At 41.3% G+C, this 21,858-nt stretch overlaps 1 protein-coding gene across 2 annotated transcripts in view; it reads left to right on the top strand.

Moving 5' to 3' along the window:
• Positions 1-21,858, top strand: part of MCC (MCC regulator of Wnt signaling pathway) — a 466,348-nt gene that overhangs the window by 322,901 nt on the left and 121,589 nt on the right. For both annotated transcript variants that reach the window (NM_001085377.2, NM_002387.3), the window contains one exon: positions 14,131-14,244. In NM_001085377.2, coding sequence (NP_001078846.2) covers positions 14,131-14,244 — 114 coding nt within the window. The remainder of the gene's footprint in view (positions 1-14,130; positions 14,245-21,858) is intronic.

Here is a 21,858-nt window from a genome sequence, read left to right as displayed (position 1 = left end):
CCGATGTAGGAGACCTTGCATTGTCCTTAGCTATCCCATCTGCAGCGAGTAATGCCACTACCCCTGCCATACTTTATTAATTTCAGAATTAGCCCATGAAATTAAGGGGACAAAAAAGGAATAAGTCAGTTTGTAAGAGAACTGGCAAGACAATATGTGATACAATGTTGGTGTTTCTTGTAGGTAGGGGGAAGAAACAGGGAGGCTTTTTATATTAAGATAATGTTGAGCTGTTGCATACCTGTCCGAATTACTAGTATGTTGTGGTTTCTAGAGACAAAGTAGGAGGACAGGCTGCTTTTGAGGGAGAAGCAGCTCCTTACAGGAAAAGAGCTGGAGCGCTGTCAAGCTAGACTCAAACCACCAGATTTCATTCTGGTCTGTGGTTGACTTGCATTGTGTTGTAGCTTTTATCTGCAATTCTGACATCTTTGATTTGGCAAAGGGATTGCAAAACACTCACAGGCCCTGGCCAGGCTAGTGTTGGCAGATGGGGTGGGGTGCAGGAGGTGCACCAGCTTTGGTAGGTTCATGGCTTACTTGCAGGAACAAGGTCTTTTTGGGTAGAACAGCGCCTTTTTGGCTACAGAGTTCAGGCTGCCCTTTACCTATACAGGGGAGCTTCTTACCTCTGGTGCCAGGCACTGTCAGAGCAAGCATGGGGATCCCACTGAAACTCCCTCTGGTACCAATGGCCTTTCCAATTTGAGCAGCACTGCTATAAACCATCTGGTGCTGAGCACCATCCAAGTCTGCAGTCTTGAGTCCTCAGGCTCTCTCCCTTAGCCCACACCAGATATGGGATCTCAAAATGTGTGACCCTGGATACCCGTGGTAAATGTGACAGGTCAGCTTGGAAGTTTGTGGTTTCAAGTACTAGAAAACTGACTGTGCCTCAGTTTCCTTATCTGTGAAATGAGTTCATTGTAGCACCTATCTCGGTTTACTGTGAGAATTCTATGAAAACTCTTGTAAAGTGATCGACACGTAAGAATGAGCTAGGCAGAATTCATCTGGAGTACTGTGCTTGGTCCTGGCTACCATTTACCAAAAGGAACATTGACATCCTAGGGGCCCCTGGGCGATCAAGGATTGTTCTGGAGGTTTGATGATTTAGGAAGGATCTTACTGATAGAGTGAGTTACTTGGAGAGTTTGGAGTATAAAAGAGAGCTAATTTTATCCTACTTGTGGAACTAGACCAATGGGACAAGTTGCAAGGAGGCAATTTCAGAGTTGCTATGTAAGGTAAAATTTGCAAATGCCAGTAGCTATCCAACAGTGAGCAGGCTTGGCTGTCTGAGGAGTTGCCGAGCTTTTTAGCACATAGACATAGTGACCACCTGCAGGCAGCACTGTAGACAGGATTCTGGCACTGGCTGGACTGTTGGATAAGAGGACAGTTAATGATCTTTCCAACTCCTAGATTTGGAAAATCCTTGGTTTATCTCTCTGAATACACTGGGAGCTTGTTGAGAGCAAGGATTACCTATTTATTTGTATTCTTCATAAGACTTTGTAAATAGGGTCAAGAAAACACTTAAAAATTGTATAATACTAATATATGTTTATTATAGAAAAAATACAATAAACCTGAGAAAGAAAATCATCTGTAATCACACTACACAGAGATTACCTGGGGATGTTGTTAACATTTTGGTACATGTATTTTTGGACTTCTTTCTAGTTAGATATTTTGGCTAAAAATAATACTATATTAAAAATTGTTTTGCATAAACTATCTTAAGTGTAGTTACACTTACAGAAATGTCTGACAGATATTTGCAGGTGATATCATCTCATAGTGGTGGTGGGAAGAGGTAAGGATAATGTTCCTTTATCTGTATTTTCTAATTTGCTAACTTTACCCGTTCAACAAATACTGCGTGAAATTCTACCATGTGCCAGGTACAGTTCTTCTTGTTCATGAGCTATTTCCCCAGCCTCTTGACATCCCTGCCTTCTTGGAACTCATAATTTTATGGGGGCAGTGAGTCAACAAAAAAAAATGTTAGGATATGATGTCAGGTCATACTAAGGGTTACAGGAAAAAAGGAGGAAAGAGAAAGTGGATGGGGGAGAATAGGTGATCTGTGGGGGACAATTGGAAACCAACATGAAAGAACTTAGGAAATGAGTCATACATGTGGGAAATAATGATTGCTAAGTTAATTATATATTTCTCTGTTTTGGTGACAACTTAGGATTATTCTATTCCTGCCACACAATTTATTCAAAAACTTATTATTTTTGATTATTTTTCTATCATGAATAGATGACCTTTGTGTGTGTCCTTGCTTACAATAACTTCCTTGGTCCTCTCTTTTGTACTATTGAGATGCGTTTTTATGGAAATTGATTTTGGGGTCATTATGTATGTCCCGCTTGGTTCTTGACTGTCTCTTACCTGAATGATATGAGGACCCATGAGGCAGAGGGTGCAAAGCGGGCATGAGGCTACTCCAGTTTCCAGGCTGTTTAGGATGAATGTGTTTGCCTGCTTACCTGCTGGCCCAGCCTGGGTGCAGGGAGCAGCTGATTCAATTACACGTGTTGAAAGGCAGACTCTAGATTACTCTGATTAATGTGATCTAGGCTCCAATGTGTTGAATCATTCTGATTGCTTAATCAGGACTTGTGAAAATGAGATAGGATAGTAACGTACCACTGTTTTCAAAGCCTGATTTTATTTTGACACTTTTTAGCAGGCAGAAGGGGTGGCATATGATAATTGTGGTCAGTAAGGTGGCAGTGGACCAAGGCACAGTGGCTCTAGCTTGTAATCCCAGCACTTTGAGAGGCTAAGGTGGGAGAATCACTTGAGCCCAGGAGTTTGAGACCAGCCTGGGCAACATGGTGATACCCCATCTCTACAACAACAACAACAAAATTAGTTGGACGTGGTGGTGCCTGACTGTGGTCCCAACCACTGGAGAGGCTGAGGTGGGAAGATGACTTGAGCCTGGGATTTCGAGGCTGCAGTGAGTTGTGTTCTTGCCACTGCATTCTAACCTGGGTGACAGAGTGAGACCATGTCTCAGGGAAAAAAAAAAGAAGATTGCAACGACCCTTGTGGCTAACAGTCTGCCAGCTGATGTTGTGGTTAAGTGATTTGCCTGAAATATTTCATCTAATCTTCTCAACTAGAATGAGTGGGTGTTGTTCCCATTTTAAAGATGAGTAGACTGAGGCTTAGAAAAGTTAAACGAGTTACCCAAAGCTGAACTAATACTCAAGTCCAGGGTATTTTGTTTTTGCATTTTGACAAAGCCTATGTCCTTAACCATGAAACTGTTTTTTCATGTTGTTTTCTTTCTACCTAATCTCTTTCCCATTCTCTTCATTTTCTGGGAACAAAGTGATCCGAGTTGGGACTATTGTTGGCTGGGTTAGAGTGATTGGAAAGGAAAGAAGATTCAGACCTAAAAGCCATTCCTTCTTTCTATCTAAACACACTGTTCTCTGAAGCAGTCAGCAGGGCCCCATCAGAGAGGGAACACGAAGCAGATTTGAAATGTGTCTCCTCCTCTCCTGGTGCTTTGGATTAGATGTACCAGCAAACGGTAAATGGCCCATCCGTCAGCAGCCCTGTGGTGAGGCAAGACAAGCCAGGGCCTGCCTGGGCCTTCCCTGAAACGGAGCATGCCGTGGCATCAAGCATTTTAAAACTGATTTTCTTTAAATGAAATAATGCATATTAAAGTATCTTTTAAAAGATGGGAATGCATTTAAAAATGATTGTATTGAATATCTAAATAGCTGACATCTTGGATAACTCTTACACTTTAATTAGAAGTCTGGAAGCATGTGCCTTGAGTTTTATATATACTCTGTATGTGTATATGTTGGTAATTGCATGTCTGTGTGTATGGGTATGTGTAGACACACACACACACACACACACACACACACACACACACACACACACACACATAAATCTAAACCTCCATTTGCTTTCCCAAACAAAAAGTATTGTCCTTAATCCATTAAAATCTAGGGTCTCTTCAAAGCACTTCAACCATTGCTGTAAAAATACTTTGGCCTTTCCTGATCTGTGGAGTTTATTGACTGTTTCACCACTAAAGGTACTTGGTTTCTCTAGAATGGGGAATTCAATACCTGCTAAATTGGATCAATATAAAAATTTATGAACAATTCAGACCTTGTCAGAGAACCCTTTTATTCATGTTCATAGAATTCTCTGTGGGAGTTTCCGCCTGGGGAATCACATCAGTATTTAGCGTGCACTGAAATATTCATGTCCCCTGATTAGCTGGATTTAATTGTTACATCTTCATCTCCTCCATGATGTGTCATTAGGATGCAGCCCCCTTGAAATTTAAGTTGGTGCAGCCAGCTTAGTGCAGTGTCTTTATTTTGTCTGTGTTTCTTTCCAAAAACCCTTGTATAACCACATAATTTTCGTTTCCCTTGAAAATAAATATTACTACAAGTTAGGATTTTTTAGTGGAAAATAATAACTTATTTTTAATAGCTACTATTGTCTTACAATATTTGTATAGGAAATTTTTACAAAATATATAAAATATTCTTCTGTTTAGATTTTTAATTTTTAAAGATCACATCAGTTGAAGGTAATAACCTTTCCTTTTCTGTAGTCTTTAAGCAGCAAAGTTAGGTGTTTGTAAGGGCTTGTTTTACCTATACTACAATTTTGTCCTCTTTAACTTTCCCACATAGAATGTAGGAATAGCTGGAGATTAATTTTTCACGGATTCCTTCCTGGGTCTGATACCAGCTGAATGGTCTTCTATTTCTCAAAATGTTTAAAGTTTTAAAGAATGAATACCTGTCTATCCCCCATGCTAATTGTGCTAATTCTGCTTTCTTCTCTTAACAGAATAACCCTCTGAGATCTTTCTTCTCAACAGTTTCGTGGGTATTTGCAAGGATCTCAGAAGTGCTATGATATTCTGTTGCAAAGCAGGGGACTTGGTAGTTATGAACAAGACCCTGGGGTTAGACAGACCTGGGCTTTCATTCTGGCTCTGTTACTTACTAGCTTGACAAGTTACTTAACCTCTAAGTCTCAATTCCTACCTCTTTAAATTGGAGATAACAGCACTACCCATCTCATAAAGCTATGTGAAGAATAGTTGAGAAAAATGCATGTTATATGCTGAGTATAGCAATCTAGCACATAGCAAGCAGTTGTGTTAGCCAGTAAAAATTACGATGGGACATATTTTCAGGGGAGCATATGTTTACAGATGGGATGGGATTGTGGGTCATCTTTAAAGCTGATTGTCAGTCTCAGACACCTCTCCCCCTTGGGAGCCATTTCCTAACCATTTATTTGAAGAAGGGGAGGTGTGGCTTTAAGTGGGTCCTAGGGACCAGTATGACAGCTTTCACAGTGAGTACCTGGGCCTGCTTTGTGATCTGGCACTGTTCCCTATATCAGCCATCCTTGGGTAGGGTTAATCTTTCTTGTATAAATGGTGTCCCACTGCTGCGGTGTTGAAGGAGCCTTTGAATGCTGTTTTGAGCAACTGAATTTCAGCTGAGGTTTAAGAAATAATTCAGGGGCCACTGACCTCTCAATGAAATTATCAGGTAAAAGGAAAGATGAAAAGCTGCTGCTTTCTGAGTTGATCTAGGGCACACAAAAGTGATTTCCATGCAGTGAGACATCTTTAATTTATAATTTAGATTATATTTAATGAGTTTTAACTTTCAAGACTATGAGCAGCATTTCTTGAAATACTACATAGCAGGTGCCCCTAGCTGGAATTCCGGTAGTAAAGAGGAATGTTCCAGTCCTAGAAGTCACTGAACAGGCCTGATGGTATCCATCTAGCAGGGAACACTACCCTTTTGCCAGGCATTTTGTTCTGTATGTATCTGAATTAGAACACCTGGGTGTGGAGTCTTGGATGGGAAGCTGAATGAGGCTTTTTCATGTGCAGATGTTTCTTGCTGTCTCCAAGGATAGCTGGGACATACATATTTTATTGACTACCCACGAGCTCTTGGATTGCCATTGGGAGAGAGGTAGCCTCTGGACAGGGAACCAGGAAATCTGAATTTGATGAACCTTGAACCTCTCTGAGTCTCAGTTTCATTTCTCTACAATGAAGGAATTGGACTAGATGTTCTCAAATTCCCTTGCCAGTGGTAAGACGATGTGTGATTCTGAAAACTCATTCCATTTTTAGGGAAAAGATCTTGGGTGAACAGTTCTGTATAGAGTGAAGCTTCCTTAAATATTTGAGCTTCAGCAGATTTTTCTGGGACCAGTGGACAAATAAAGTATGCAAAGCCCATAGTGCAGAACTCAGGTGCCTGGACAGGTGAACATGCCAGGCAAGCATGTTACAAGTTTAAAACCAGAAGAATCTTAGAGGTAATCCGATACAAACCCTTCTACAGAGGACAAAAAAGCACAGAAAGGACAAAGAGAATCACCCACATTTATACCAAGCTGAGCCCCACGCTTCATCACAGCATTGGAGGACTTGCCCTGCCACCCTTCTCGCTCCCACCCAAAATCACATGGGTGCTGCCATCACGAAAACCCTGACCCTGCTTCTCCCATGTCTTCAGCCCTGCCTGTGCACACACCTCACCCCCGCCCCACATCCACCCCTCCACACACACATACATGGACACAAGCAGGTTTACGCATCCCTCGGGCAAGGGAGAGCCGTGGTATGTTGAGTTGGAGGTGCCAGTGATGCACATAGTGGAGAAGATTTGAGCATAGGGTCCTTGTGTGTTATTATCTCCGGTACTGTTAGGTTGGAAAAAGTAATTGCAGTTTTTGCCATTGCAATTACTTTTGCACCAACCTAATATTTATTAGTTTTCTTCACTTCGGCTGATTTTCTACCCCTCTTCTGTGCCTTGGTTTCCTCGTTTGCCAGAAGGAGGTAATAACATATATCTCACAGCATTGTGGTGATGGTTAAATAAGATATGGCATGTAATGTGCCTAGCCCAAGCCCCTGATACCAATAAATATTCAGCAAACGGTAACTATTAATATTATTACTTTCATTATTACTGCCTGGTGACCTGGAATTCTCAAGAATATTCGCAGATTTTGGCATTGGGATTTGACACTGCCTTTCCTCTGCAGCTGATGGAACAGGTAAAGTGTATGAAGCATGCAGTGCGGAACCTGCCAAAAATATGTATTCAATGAAATTAAGTTCAGTGAAATTAAGTGTCCTTTAATGAGAGAAGTTGGCACTACCCATTGTCACTGGATGAGAGAAGTTGGCACTACCCATTGTCATCACTAAAACATAAGCAAAAATTGTGCATACTTTGTATCTGGAAAGCAAGTGGCTCAGCTAGAAAGACAGAATAGTACAGTAGTCCCCCCTTACCCATAGTGTCATTTACTTGCAGTCAACTGCAGTCTGAAAATGTTAAGTGGAAAATTCCAAAAATAAACAATTGGCAGGTTTGAAATTGCAAGCTGTTTTGAGTAGGCTGATGCATTTGCGTGCTGGGCTGCTTTGTCCGACCTGGGGAAGGGCTCCTTCCTTTGTCCAGCATATCTGCACTGTCTGTGCTCCCCACCCATTAGCCAGCTGGGTTATCACATCAAATGCCATGGCATCACAGTGCTTGTGTTCACGTCATCCTTATTTTACATCATAATGGCCCGAAGCATAAGAGTAGCAGTGCTGGCATATTGTTAATAATTGGTCTGTTCTATTAATTATTTTGAATCTCTGACTATGAATTAAACTTTATCATAGCTTTGTATGTATAGGAAAAAACAGTGTATATAGAGTTCAGTACCAACTGAGGTTTCAGGCGTCCACTGCAGGTGTTGGAGCAGACCTCCCTCCATTAAGGGGGAGACCACTGTAACTCCTGTCATTACTCAGTGGGAAGGCAATAGATGCACGCTGGCAGTGAGTGTTAAACTAGCACTTCAAGTAGCCAGACCAAGTTAAGGAGAAAGAGAACAAGCACAGTTTACCCCAGATGAACTCACTTCCCAACAAAGCCGGGAAGACTGGCCCAGCCCTCAGCACCATGAGGTGCCTCAGCAGCATGAGGTGCATGTATCTAGATAGGGCCTGTGGGGATGAACTCATTCCTCTGCCTCACCTGTGGCTGCAGGTGCCTTTGGGCCCTTTGAAGACTGTGCTGTTCAAAGCACAGACTGAAGTCCCACAAAGATGAATCTAGGTTCTCCACCATTTTATTCAAATCGTATTCCTTTTTACCAACTGTGTTTCATGGGAAAAATAGTTGTCCCTCAGCAAATCGGGAAGCATAGCTTGCCCTTAGGCCACAGAGTCCTGGCGTGATGAAGGTCAGAGGAGATGGTGCCTGGAGAGTGGTGTGTGCACTGGGTAGTGTAGGCATGTCTGCTGTGTTTATTGCCAGGGTTAGCAAAATGCAGAAGCACCTAATAACCAGAAATACGCAGTGACACTCCTGGAGGGGCTCTCATCAGAGTCATTGGACTGCAGAGTTCAAGGGCACCTTATGAAGTGTGAAGCCTTTTGTCACACAGCAGATATGTAACGGAATAGACATCTATTCACTTAGCAAAGGAGATACCCCTGGGAGAGTCTGTCATGAGGGCACTGCTCACTTCTTACCTGGGCTCAGGGGGGCTGGACACCTTTCCTCTCAGAGGCTAAGAGGGCTTGTCCTTAGAGTCAGTTGAACAGTGAAATTATTTTACTCAAGTTATGTTTTATCCAAAAATAACCATTTTGACAGTTAGCTTGCAGCCAAATGTCCAGGTGGTTTAGTTTCGTTTGGATACACACTGTAAAATGAATGTGAAGCAGGGCTCAAAACAGCCTAGGGAATTAGGGCCTTTTATCTCCAGAAATGTGAGGAATGTGTGGATCTATATCCTTCATGCACTAGATCCAGATTTGTATACAAAGTGTCAGGGTTCTATCCAACCTCGTTTAGGCCTCATGTTAAAATTTCACAGAGAACTAAGAGCCCTGGCTGTCAGCTCCTTAAGCCTTAGGATTTCAGCAGAATCTGGCAACGCAGCTATTGGCTTCTTAGTCCTGTGCTATCTACCAGGTGATAACGCTTCTCCAGGACAGGACTGTTTTCCTAGTCTGAGTGTCCCTAGCACCTCTGATGGGGCTTGGTCTGCCTGAGAAGGTTGTTGACTTCAAACAAACCCGTTTGTTGAGTGCTTACCTGGTTCCAGCCACCCTGCTAGTCACTTTCTGGATGCCATCATTTGTCTTGACACAGCCCTACAACAAAAGGGATTAAATTGTGCAAAGACAGTCCACCAACAAGTGGCATAGATAAGATTTGAACCCAGCTTTATCTGATTCTGTGAATTAGGATTAGATCAGCTTCATTTGCCAGAAACTCTCAACTTCATAGCGCTTTGTATAACAGAGGTTTATTTCTTGCAGTTCTGTAACAGAAGTCTGGGGTTAGGTGGTCCAAAACTGGTGGGGTGGCTCCACAAAGTTGCTAGGGACTGAGGCACCTTTCTGCTCCCTAGAGTCTCAGCTTTGTAGCACAAGATGGCTGCTAGAGCTCCATCCATCACATAAGATACCAAACAGCAAGGATGGATGAAAGGAAAAAGGATGTGCCCTCTCAAAAAGATTTTCCCATACCTCTCACACAGTATTTCTGCTTACATCGCACTGGCCAGAACTTTGTCACATGGCTATACCTAGCGCAAACTACACTGAAGGATGGGAACTGGAATATTTTCGCTGAGCAGAAATATGACCAGCTAAAAATCAGCATCTGACTCCTGAGTATGAAGAGAAATATGTGTTGAGGAAGACACTAGCACAGACTCTAAACAGCATGTATTTTCTTTCTCTTTGGTTCATGGAACATTTTCTTTTCATCATACTTCATAGTTCATATGTCTGAATCTCTCAAGTTAGAGGCCATTTCAGAAACCAGAATATGATTAAAGGGATCCCAAAAATTGGCATAAATATAATTTCCCATTTATACATACTTGACAATTTTGGTTGCTTTAGTACATTTATCTTTCCAAGATTTAAACCCACTGGTAGTCCTTTAAAAAATCACCCGGAGGCACTCTTATACACTGTTGGTGGGAATGTAAATTAGGACAACCATTATGGAAAACAGTGTGGAGGTTCCTAAAAAAACCCTTAAAATAGAACTACCATATGATCCAATCCCACTACTTGGGTATTTGTTCAAAGCAAAGAAAATCGGCTTATTACAGGAACACCTGTATCCCCATGTTTATCGCAGCACTGTTTACAATAGCCAAGATACGGAATCGACCTAAGTGTGCATCAGCAGATGAATGGATATACAGAGTGTGGTACATATGCACAGTGGAATATTATTCAGCCATAATAAAGAGTGAAATCCTGTCATTTGCAGCAGTGTGGACAGAACTGGAGGTCATTATGTTAAGTGAAGTAAGCCATGCACATAAAGACAAATATCACATGATCTTACTCATACTGGGAGCTAAAAAAGTTGATCTCACAGAGATAGAGAATAGAATGATAGATACCAGAGGTGGGGAAGAATGTGAGGATAGTGGGGGAGGGATGAAGAGAGAGGTTGGTTAATGGGTAAAAACATGCAGTTAGAAGAAATAACTCCTACTGTAGCACAGTAGGGTTACTATAGCTGGCAATAATGTATATTTCAGAATAGCTAGAAGAGATTTGAAATGTTCCTAGCACAAAGAAATGAAAAATGTTTGTGATGATGGTTATTTTAAATATCCTGATTTGATCATTACACATTGTATGCATGCATCAAAATATCACATGTACCCCATAAATATGTATAAATATTATATTTCAGTAAAAAAGTTTTAACTGCCTAGAGGGACCTCTAAACTAATTTTTTCATGCTTGCCAACACACAACTACACAAATTCCTTCATGTAGCATCGCTCACAAACACTCTAGCTTTTGAATTTGCAGGAATGCCACCAATAAGCCAGAGACTGGTGAAACCCCAAAAGAGGGGAGGTTATGTCAGCTTTTGATGACTTGAGTTGATGATGCAGTGGGACAGGGAGTGCCACTGAACTCAAACGCACAGAGATTGAGTGTCCAGCACTCAAACTTGTGGTGGGAAGTCCACTCCTCTCCTCACCTACTCCGTCCAGGAGGTCAAGGAGTGGTCTGTCAGCCAATTCTAGGCAGTGTGGCTTATGGCTGGTTGGTGGCTTCCCCCACTCCAACTTCTGCTCTCTCTAGTTGTAGCCTCTGCGGAGTAATTGTCAGTAACAGTAAGAGACATATTTTATTCTACCTCATTGTTACAGGTTTTCCTTCTGTCAGAAGAGTTGGTGGACAGACTGCAGCAAGGAAGCAAAATAACCCTGTACAATATTTATGCTATAGCCTGCATATGCAGAAAACAGTCACTTTATTTTATTGTGTCTTTAATACAGAAATAACTCAGGAAAAAATGCTCATTAAACAAAAAGTACCCAAACAAAAAAACAGCTTAAAACCACCCAAAGCCCATCACTAAAACATGAGAATGCTCTTTCTGGTTTATTTTTCTGTTGCAATTTTATTACTTTTATAATCAGAGAAGATATGTTAAGTAAAATTTTCATCCAAGTAACAAACTGAAAACTCTGTCATGTACAATACCAGAGAGCCAGAAAAGAGTGCTGTGGCCTTGGCCCTGGTGCTCAGCTGACTGTGAGACCTTGAGTAAGCAAGTCAGTCTCTGGATTCCAGATCCTAACCTGCAGTTATGGAGTCGGGGACATCAGTACCAAAGTTCTTTTCCCCACTCAGACATCTGTGATGATGACACATGAGACAGTCTCTGAAACTGATGTGGGGTCACAGAGCTGACATCAAGTCCAGATGTTTCTTATTGAGGGGCCCATAGATAGATTCCAGAGTGTGTCATCACCATAATTGGGTGGAAAATATGCATGCATCCCAAACTCATCTCTGCCCTAGTAGAAGGGTCCATTGCATTCATGAGATTCTCAAGGAATCTGTTCTCACCTCATACATAGGCACCTTCCATCCAGAGAAGTGAAGGGACCTGCCCCCTTGGGCATCTGACAGCTCTTCCTGGAAATCTGGAGAGCTGGTAGGCCAGAAGGTATTATCACTCTAAGCCCGGTGCTCTCCCCCATGATAGTGACCCATCCTGGACCCCTCTTCCAAGTCTGTGATGGAAGTAAGTACTCTGTGTGTGTCTCCATCTGGCCCAGTTCATGGAGTCTGTGGGGGAGCATGCAGCATTCTCTCAGCTTTTCCCTCCAGGCCTCCCCCAACCCCTTCAAGCAGCCCTTTCCCCCAGAAGTAGGAGGGGAGATATAATGAGGAAGGAAGCAAGTCTAGGCTAACAGAGCTGGGATCCTTATCCCCACTCCTCAATTTCTTCAAGAACATGTCAGCTCTCACGTATTTTATCCTTTTCGCCGGAGGTGAGGTGGCAAATCCTTTCTCAAGAGTTGGTATAATAGCGTAACATGCCACAGTGTCAGATGCTGAAGAAAAATCCTCAGACTGACAGTTCAAAGGCTGAGGGGGCAACCAACCATCAAAGGGAGTGAATTCGTTCCCCTTCCACCAAACAAAACAATCTCAACAAGACTATACAACGGGAACACTGTGGTATTTGTACTGAGAAGTCGTCACACAAAACGTTGTATCTGAAACCCACAGTGACCTTTTCCAAGCCACCCTAGCCCTACATCAGAAGACAAATACTGCCAGATTGCCTGACATTTTCTTTTTTTAATTTTAAGCATTCCTGATTTCAAATCGGCTATTGATCTGTTGGTTTGCTGCTCCGATGCGATTAAGTGAAGTCACATTTACTGCTATTAGAGTCTAACAAAAACAACTGCTTTGAAACCCCACACTCTGCCTTATATCTGCTTCTCCCTCACTCAACACCCACCCCACCCTCACCCTGAAGCCTGCCAGCCAACATGCTGTGTGTGGAGGGCAGGTTGCAGAAAAGCACATTTTTCTAAGCCTCAAATGAGAATCTTCAAAGTTGAGTTACGTACCATCGTCCTGTGTCCATCTTTAAAGATCAAATGTATTTGCTCACTTCTTACTTGAAATCCTTCTTGGCAAAGACTACAAAAAGCCTATAAAGCCAGGGGTTGGTTTGTTCTAATTCCAGTTGTTCACCCAAATGTAGTATGGAATTCAGTGAGGGGATGGTCTGAGCTCCACCTGGAATGGAAAGTTTCAAGGTTTCAAAGGACGTTTCAGGGTGTTGCTTTGGGACCAGTGTGTTGAACGGGTCTTAAAAATAGTTCCATCCGTCGGCCTGAAAATCACAGAAGGCACATGTGTGGTAGGTGTGTGTGCAGCCAAAGTCCAGTCTTTAGAACTTGGAAGTTGAACAGATGGAGATTCTGGATGTACGTGGGGCCTCCTGTTAATCTTTTGAAGAACATTCTTTCTAACTCCAGTTAACCCAGAGAAATGGCTGCAGAAAGATACCTCAGTTGATCCTTGGTTTGTCTTTTCACAGCGTCATTTGTCAGAGTTCTGGTGCTGCTCCTGAAAGAGGGCCTGCTAGCACATAAGCATCTGTCTGGCCAGTACAGCCTTTCGGGGGAAGTGGGGAGGCAAAGAGGAGGGAAGACCCAACAAGAAAATAAATGGGTCAACTGTACAAGGAGACCATCTAAAAAATGAGCTCTGCTGCTTTTTTCCCCTTAATGCTCAGTGCCTGTCTGCCTGTCACATATGCAGCAATTTAGATGACTGGATTCCAGAAATCCAAATTGCCCTATTCAGCTTTCATATTTTCCGAAGGTGAAAATTAATATGGTTCTGATTTTCTTGACTCTCATGATTAGAATCAGGCAGCTCCACTTCAGCTGTCAGGCTCATCCTCACTGAGTAGCTTGGGGAAAGCCATTGGAAAGAGAAGTTTTGTTCTCTGGCCTGATTATACCATGCAAAATTAGGTCCCATGTCCCACACATAATATTTAGGGTGACCATATAACCCAGTTTGCTGGTAGCACACCTGACTTATGCCTGTTGTCCCCAAAACTCATAACACTTACCTTCATTCTCAAAAGTGTTGCTTTTTGGATGATAGGCTTTTTATTTGGTTATACTAGTTGCGGGAATGAAGGGAAGGAAATACATCTCTGCTACAATACTCTAATCTCCTCCTTTCTGTCACCACAGCTCCATTCAGCAGCCCTGGCATCACTAAAGGGAGATATAGTGGAACTTAATAAACGTCTCCAGCAAACAGAGAGGGAACGGGACCTTCTGGAAAAGAAATTGGCCAAGGCACAGGTAAGGGATCTGGAAAGGTTTTTAGTTTGCTTTTGTTTTTTGTTTTAAATATTTAATCTTAAGATAAAACATGAGTACAGAAATTCCCACAAAACAAATTACAGCTTTATCAGCAAATACTCTGTCTTGGTCTGCTCTGGCTGCTGTAACAAATGCCATAGATTTGTGGCTTAAACAACACTTATTTCTCACAGTTCCAGAAGCTACGAAGTCCAAGGTGCCTACCGAGGGATTCCTTCCGAATGGCTACCTTTTTGTTTTTCTTGAGGCAGAGTCTTGCTCTGTCACCCAAGCTGGAGTGCGGTGGCACGATCATGACTCACTGCAGCCTCAACTTCCCAGGCTCAAGCATTCCTCACACCGCAGCCTCCCAAGTAGCTGGGACTACCAGTTAAATTTTTGTATTTTCTGTAGAGATGGGGTTTCGCCATGTTGTCCAGGCTGATCTTGAACTCCTGAGCTCAAGTGATCCTCTTGCCTTGGCCTTCTAAAGTGCTGGGATTACAGGCATGAGCCCTTGTGCCTGGCCTTTTAATTATCTTGTTAATATTAATTTTCTTCCTTTGCTTTGATTTTTCAAGGACTTCTATCATTTGTATGTTACATCATCTTTGCCTATCTTTATCTGTTACTATCTTAAATATTTTAAATCTTTTTTAATTTAATTTTTTCTTTTCCTTTTCTCTTGGGGTATTATGTGTTGTTTTTAGCCTTTCTTTTTTGCCTTCCAGTGTAGTCATCATTACTGAAATGCATTTTCATTTTATTTCTAACTCTTCTCACTTCTGAATTTTTCTAATTCCTAACGTTCTTTTCTGTCTCATGTCTTTTAGTTTATTTTGAAATAGTAGGCTATTATCTGGAGTGTTTTTGTTTGGGGGATTTTGTTTTTGTTCTGTGTTGTGGCATGCTTTTATGGTTTATAAGGATGTTCTGCCCTTGTTTTGTATAACTTTGTATGGGATTTGACGTCAGTATTTTTCTGTTTTTCATTTTCATGTGAAAAATAATTTCCTTGAACTTTCAGGAGGCAGGGTTTAAAATGGCTTTCTAAAGTGTTTAGAACCTAGCCTTCTGTTGTTTTCTTGTCAAAAATGGCAGCCTGCTTTCTGTCACTGTCTGGCTCTGTTCCTTTTACCTGCTTTTATCTGGACCTTTTCTTTCCTTTGTCTCTATTATTCCCATCCTGTTCAATTTTGTTTCCACTCCCAGCAGTTTCTCTTCCTGGAAGGCAGTCCTGAGGGCAGTCTCCAAAGTTCACAGGGACTAGCCTAGGTTAGCCTCTTCAAATCTTCCTGTGGGCCCCTTGCACTGACTCTTTGGTCAGGCAAAACCCCTCCTAGTTTTAGCTACTATTCTCCAATTGGGCATCCTTACTTTCCTGTGAATTCCTTTTGGTTTTTTAGGGGTTTTCCAGTTCTCAGATACATCAGCCTTGTTTTCCTCTGATTCTCCCCAAGCTGATGCCACTCAGATCTTATGGATGATGTTGGTTTGTTCTTACCTGCTTGTATTTTGTTGTTCAATGGCACACCTTGTCTCCAAGCTTTGGGCTTTACTGTGTAAGTGCTTTGTTTATTTTTATGTGGGAATTCAGAGAAATTTTAATACCAGGCTGGTATTAAATTAATATCTGGAAAGATGGCTGCTATAGCCATCTTTCCAGAATGACCTATGGAAAATTTTTGGAAACTTTCATGTCTCATAATCAAAGACTGCTTGAGTAGAGGGAAAGGATTCTCTGTATTTAAGATCATCCACTTTCACATTTGACGGGCATCTGAAGATTAACTTGATTACCCAAAGATAAATGAGTAGCTCAGCAAGGCCACCAGTGCCTTTTCCCACTATAGGATGTTAATACTATTTTCATAGTATTTATTTCATACTGAAATAAAAAAATTTTCAGTTTTTACTTAGATGAAAATGTTACTTAAAATATTTTCCTTCTGATTATAAAAGTAATAAAATAGTGATAGAAAAAACTGGAAAGCATTAGAATGTTTCAGTGGTGGTCTCCAAACTGAAACTTTTTCAGTGCTTTTTTTGTTTTACAGTGTTTTTTTTTTAAGAGAAAATAGTTATTTTTATATTTAAAAACAACAACAAAATGGTGGTGACTATGTTTTCTAATTTATACCCACCCAAAGCCAGCCATCATTAGCAATTCTTATTGATGAGAATTTGTTTTAAAAAAGAAAATTGTGAATGCATTTAATTGGAAGCTGGCATGTACAGTAGTCTTGGATTTTAAAAAGTGACCAGGAAGGTATTTATTAAAATTTAAGCCTACAAAGACAGCTTTTACAGAGGATGGTAAGAGGATAATGGAAAATTTTTTCTCTAAGTCAAGGATTGATTCAGCTCTTTTTTTACTTACCTGTGGTCAAGCCATCCTCATGTAATAGCTTTTGATGACTGATTTTACCCTTGATGATAATGGTCACATCATAGAACCATTTATTGACTCTCTTATTTGCATTCTTATGTAAAATAGATTTAAAAATTACTCTCTGCTCTTCTCACTGGAGTTTTCTTCCCAGTTCATATACTGGAACCTAGGAAAGAGAACATGAAAAAAAAGTCAGACTTATATCTTTAAAAACATGAAATTTATGCAAGAAAAATATAAGAACAATGAAATGACTGTGCTGCACTTTTGGTGTTATATGCCTTGGTAAAAGATTCATGTTTGAGGCTTTACCAGATTGTAGAAGAGCAAATTCATGTGTAAACTTACGCTGTGTGGCTCTATTAAGTTTTACCAGCTCTCTAAATATTATAGTGCCATGATTAAAATGTAAAATGTAAATGGTGGTTATGTTCAACAGACATTACCAAGAGAGCTGCAACATCTGTTGAATAATTATTAATGGTGACACTGGAACTGGTTGAATAAAAGAAGGTGTCTTATTTATGCTCATGACATCCACCTGTAGGTAGAGTTTTGAAAATAGTGATATGAAGGGAAGAGCCCAATACCAATGTGATGGGGAAGACAAAGTGCTTCTGTATTAATTTTCTATTGCTGTATAATAAATTGCCATAAACTTACTGGCTGAAAACAGCACACTCCTATCTTCCCAAATTGAATACGGGCACAGACATGCATCAACATTCTACAGCCCAGTGGGAACTGAGCCTGTGGGAAACTGGCTAAGATCAGATATAGTCCTGATTTGATGCTTTCAGCATATTTGCTATTTATTTAGTACCAACAATTATTTTAAATTAACTGCATTTTTAAGTACTTCAGAAGGAGATATGTCAAACAAGCTTATGAACCCCTTTAAAATAGGTGAGCAGTAATGTGGAATACTTCGTAAGCTCCTTATCTTTGGAAAACAAGTCTCCTGAATTTTCTACCTCTTGGCATTCAGGAAGAGAACACACACAGTTTTCCTTAAGTGAAATGGAAAGAGTTTTTTCTTTTTCTCTTGTTTTCTGAGATAACTTTTCTGAGATGTAGTCGGCATGTATTTTTGTTAGGGTCGCCTCATTCCATTCCTCTCCTATTCGTTTATGCTTCTCTTTGGTAAACTCCTCTAGCTCCTTTGCTCCTTAATGGCATTTCCTTTTGTGCTGGTGCCTCTTTGTTTAGCTGGTCCACTTTCCCCTTAGCGAGCGAACCTGGGCAAGAACTTAGAGTGAGGGTGGAAATACCCCGAATAGTGTTAGTTGTGACAAATCCTGTGTGACCTTGAGAGGGTAACATCTCTTGTTAGCATATTTTAAAAGAGAGTGGTACTAACCCCCTTCACGGGATGGTTGAGAGGGTTAACAAATTAATGATGGCATTGCATTTTCCAAGAACCTAGTTCATAATGCTCTTAGGTTTGACAGCTGACACTAATGCGATGATTAAAGATCAGTGGCCTCGGTGGAGTAAGATAAAACCCGGTGAAGAACATTAACAAAACCATAAAGCTGCTTAGCATCACCACATTGCACAGGGTTTTTCCAACAGGGGCTCAAGTTCTCAGGCCAGACTGTCTCAAGGCTGACTCAGGGCTTTATCCCTGGATTGCACCATAGCAGGGATGAGCCTAAAGGATTTTATTCTCAGTGGTTGAAATGACGATGTTGCTTGTTTTTATTACACATTTTTGCATATAGGCAATTTCACCAATTTATGTGGCTAGACACAAGTATTTATATGCATGTTTAATTTGCTTCATCATCATGATAGGAAAGCTGAGATCTCAAGAAGAAACTCCGGGTATGTATTTAGCACCAGATGAAATTTGGGAAAAACAAAATTTCGTCATATCCAATGTCAATCATTTTTTTCTTTTCCTTTCAAACTGAAAGTCTGTAGTTGTGAGACAAATCTAGACTCCTAATGATAATGGCCTCCAGAAATTTATGGCAGGCAAGACACTGCAACCACAGGCTTTCTGGCTTTGTGGTACTGTACCTTCAGTCAAAAATTGAATATGGGCTGGGAGGAGGAAGAACCCTGGATGCAATTACCTGTAATGACAGAAAAAAAAGCAGTAGCATATTATTTGAGACCAATTTTTATTTTGTTCAGCTGAAATTGTATGGGGTGTCTCTGTCCAGTAGAGAGAAGAAAATAGTCTCTAACTTACAAGTTGTAGTAGAAGAAACTGCCTTTGGTCCCAGAGGCCGCTAAGTAAATTATCACTGAATAATTGACTTTGGAAGCTAAAGCTGGCTTGTTGGAAGCTAGAGAGACTTTGAATTCCCTGTTTTACACCCCCTTGTGTCTCTTTTTCTGTTTTTATCCTCTCTGGGGGTTGAAGAGAGAGCTCTTTGGGCTTTCCTAGCTCTCTTTGGTATCATAAGGCCTAACATTCATGCTCCCTAGAGTTCACAGAGGCGTTTCAGGGTCTGAGACCAAGGCACCAGCCAAGATTTTTAGGTAAATGGTGAAGAGGATATAAACTCAGGTCAGGGAGCTGGGGGAGGAAGACATAGAGGAGAGAAGATTGCAGCTGCAACAGCTTCAGTGCCTTGATGGCAAAAACAGGAATCAGAGGGGTATTTGTTCTCCAGAAGAGAAGTCTGGGATTCTTTCAGTCCACTGGAAGCTGTGACCACAGTTACCTTCAAAATGTGTTGTAATCACCTCCCCTGTAGCACCCAGCACAGTCTCATTTAAGAAATGTCTGATCTGTGTAGAGGAAGTATTACATTATAGTACTACATTGTATGCTATTTTTTTAAAACTTACGGAAAAATATAGGAATGTAAACTAAATACCTTTGCCCTTAGTTAAAGGAGGTTTTTTTCCTCTAATATATTCTTGTTACTTCTCCTAAATCAGTGCTTGAGCTTCAAATATACATTGAGTCTTTTTTTCCTTTAGCTACAAGCCCTATTCCATCTGACTGAATCACCAGGCTTCATGTTGCCTCTTGTTCATGCAGGTATCCTCCAGGCAGGCTTCTCAGTTAGAGGCAGGGGAAGGATGGTGCAATACCAGAGAGCAAGCTCTCCCTCTCCATCTGGTATCCTGGGCAGCCCCACAGGGTCTTTTGTGTGTGTGTGTGTGTGTGTTTGTGTGTGTGTGTGTGTGTGTGTGTGTGTGTGTGTGTGTGTGTGTGTAAGCAAGTTTATTAGAGAAACAAAAGAATGGCCACTCCATAGGCAGAGCAGCAGCGAGGGCTGCTGGTTGGCCAGGATTACATCTTTTAGGCAGTTGATATCAGTCAGTAGGGATGCTGAAGGGTGGTCTTTTGGTGGTTTTTATTGATGGTGTGCCTTTCTCTATATAAACCCTTGAACATCTTCATTGTTCATTGGACTTTGTAGTTTCTTGTCAGCCCAGGTGGTGGTAGTGGCCTGTTGACCTGTAAGGACATCAAAGAAAAAAGAAGGAGTAGAGAAATAAGGGAAAGTGAGAGCTCATTGAGTGTGTAAGTGGAAATGTTTCACAGTAATTTGTAGCCCTAGACGGAATATGGAAAACAAAAGAGGAGGAACAAGCAACATGGGAACATAGGAGTCACAGCATTGATGAGATCCAGGTCAGAGACAGAATTTTATCCTACAGTCACACTAAGATCTGGAACTGGTGACCTGCATGAGAGTGTCCACTACATCTGTACATGTTCATACAACATGAACACACGCACACACTCTGAGGTTGGGAACAGAGGCTAACAGCAAGAGTTTGTAGATGTGCTGCAGGTCTGAGAGGAACAGTGTTCTGTTCTTGGTTTGTTCCAGAGAAATATGAAGCTCTTTCATTTATTGATAGAAATGCCTTTGAGATCCTGTAATTTTTGTGGACTTCTCCTTTTCCTTAAGTATGTAGGATCATGGATGAGAAAGGCCTAACTTCATGGAAAGAGTGTCTGTGGCTGGTTACAGCATCTTTGTTTAGGAAAGCTTCCACTAGATGTGCCCCTCATTCAACCTTGATCCTTGCCTTTGTTCCCGCTTATTTTTTGTGTGCTTGACCTGGAGTGGAGGTTATTTGATGTTTCAGGTTGTCACTAAGAGTAGTAGTTCACATGAGTATTTTCCTGAAAGTATCCCTCTAAGGCTGTGATAAAGCATTCAACAACCTTGTTGCCTCCAATCTTGTTTCTGGAGCTCCAAGGTAACCCCCAGGAAGTTACATAAATACTGATCCAGCTGTTGTTGAGGTGCAGGCCCTACCATGATTGATACCAGATTATTTGTCAGACTTCTTTGTTGAGTACTTCTGTTTCAGTATGGAGTTAGGCTTAGTATAATGTTCAGTTTATCGTTGAAAGCCTTTTGTCCCTGCCCTGGGTTATGCCATTGGAAGCTTAGCTGATTTAGGGAGGGACAGGGGAGGTAGCGGGTGAGAAGTCCTACTCTCACTGGAGATGCCAACCTGCAACGCTGGAAAGCACATATGGCTCTTGGCACTAAGAAAACCTTGTTGAAGATGAAATTAAAGTTCCTCTGCTGACAGGAAATTAATCGAAGCCGAGTGTAGTAGACAAGGACGCAAGCTAGGCTACTTGTTCCATCACTGAGGAGTATTTTATTATTATGTAAATGAGATTAAATGCACAGTGACTGGAAGGGATTGAGAGCAGTGGAGAGAAGTGAGAGGTGAACAGGTTCCTCAGGATTTAAACTCTGGCTACAGAAATGTTTCTATAACTCTGCTGCCTCTTAGTCCATCAAATGCTGAGCAAGGGAAGCTCCTCTGCCTCTTTTATCACTATTTCTGCTAAGCAGTTTTCATGACGATGATATATCGTCATCCATTCATTCCATAACACTCCTAGATCACCCACAGTAAACCAGGCCATTTGCCGGTGCTAGGCTAAATAATGAGAAACCTAGTCCTTGCCTTCCAGGAGCTTGTAGTCTGGGAGATAATGATATTGGAAAGCATTAAATTTGCAGATAATCCATCCAGATAAGAAGTGGTATTATACCATTTAGGATTATTTGGTTGAAAAATAGCTGAAACAAACCCTGACAAACTTCAGCAAAGGAGGGGTGAATTGGTAAAAAGGGAAACTGAACAGCCATAAAGGAACTTGGGAAGGGAGCTGTAGGTAGCAGGAACTAAGAGAGATGCTCTTCAAGGCTTTCTGAATCAACTCCATGCAACCTTACATCCATTGGCTCAAGATTGAAATCCCCTGCAGAAGGTATCTG

Source organism: Homo sapiens, chromosome 5, assembly GCF_000001405.40.
Source record: "Homo sapiens chromosome 5, GRCh38.p14 Primary Assembly".
NCBI classification, from domain to species: Eukaryota; Metazoa; Chordata; class Mammalia; order Primates; family Hominidae; genus Homo; species Homo sapiens.
Note: the sequence above shows the minus strand (reverse complement) of the source record. Positions and strands in the feature narration are given on the sequence as shown.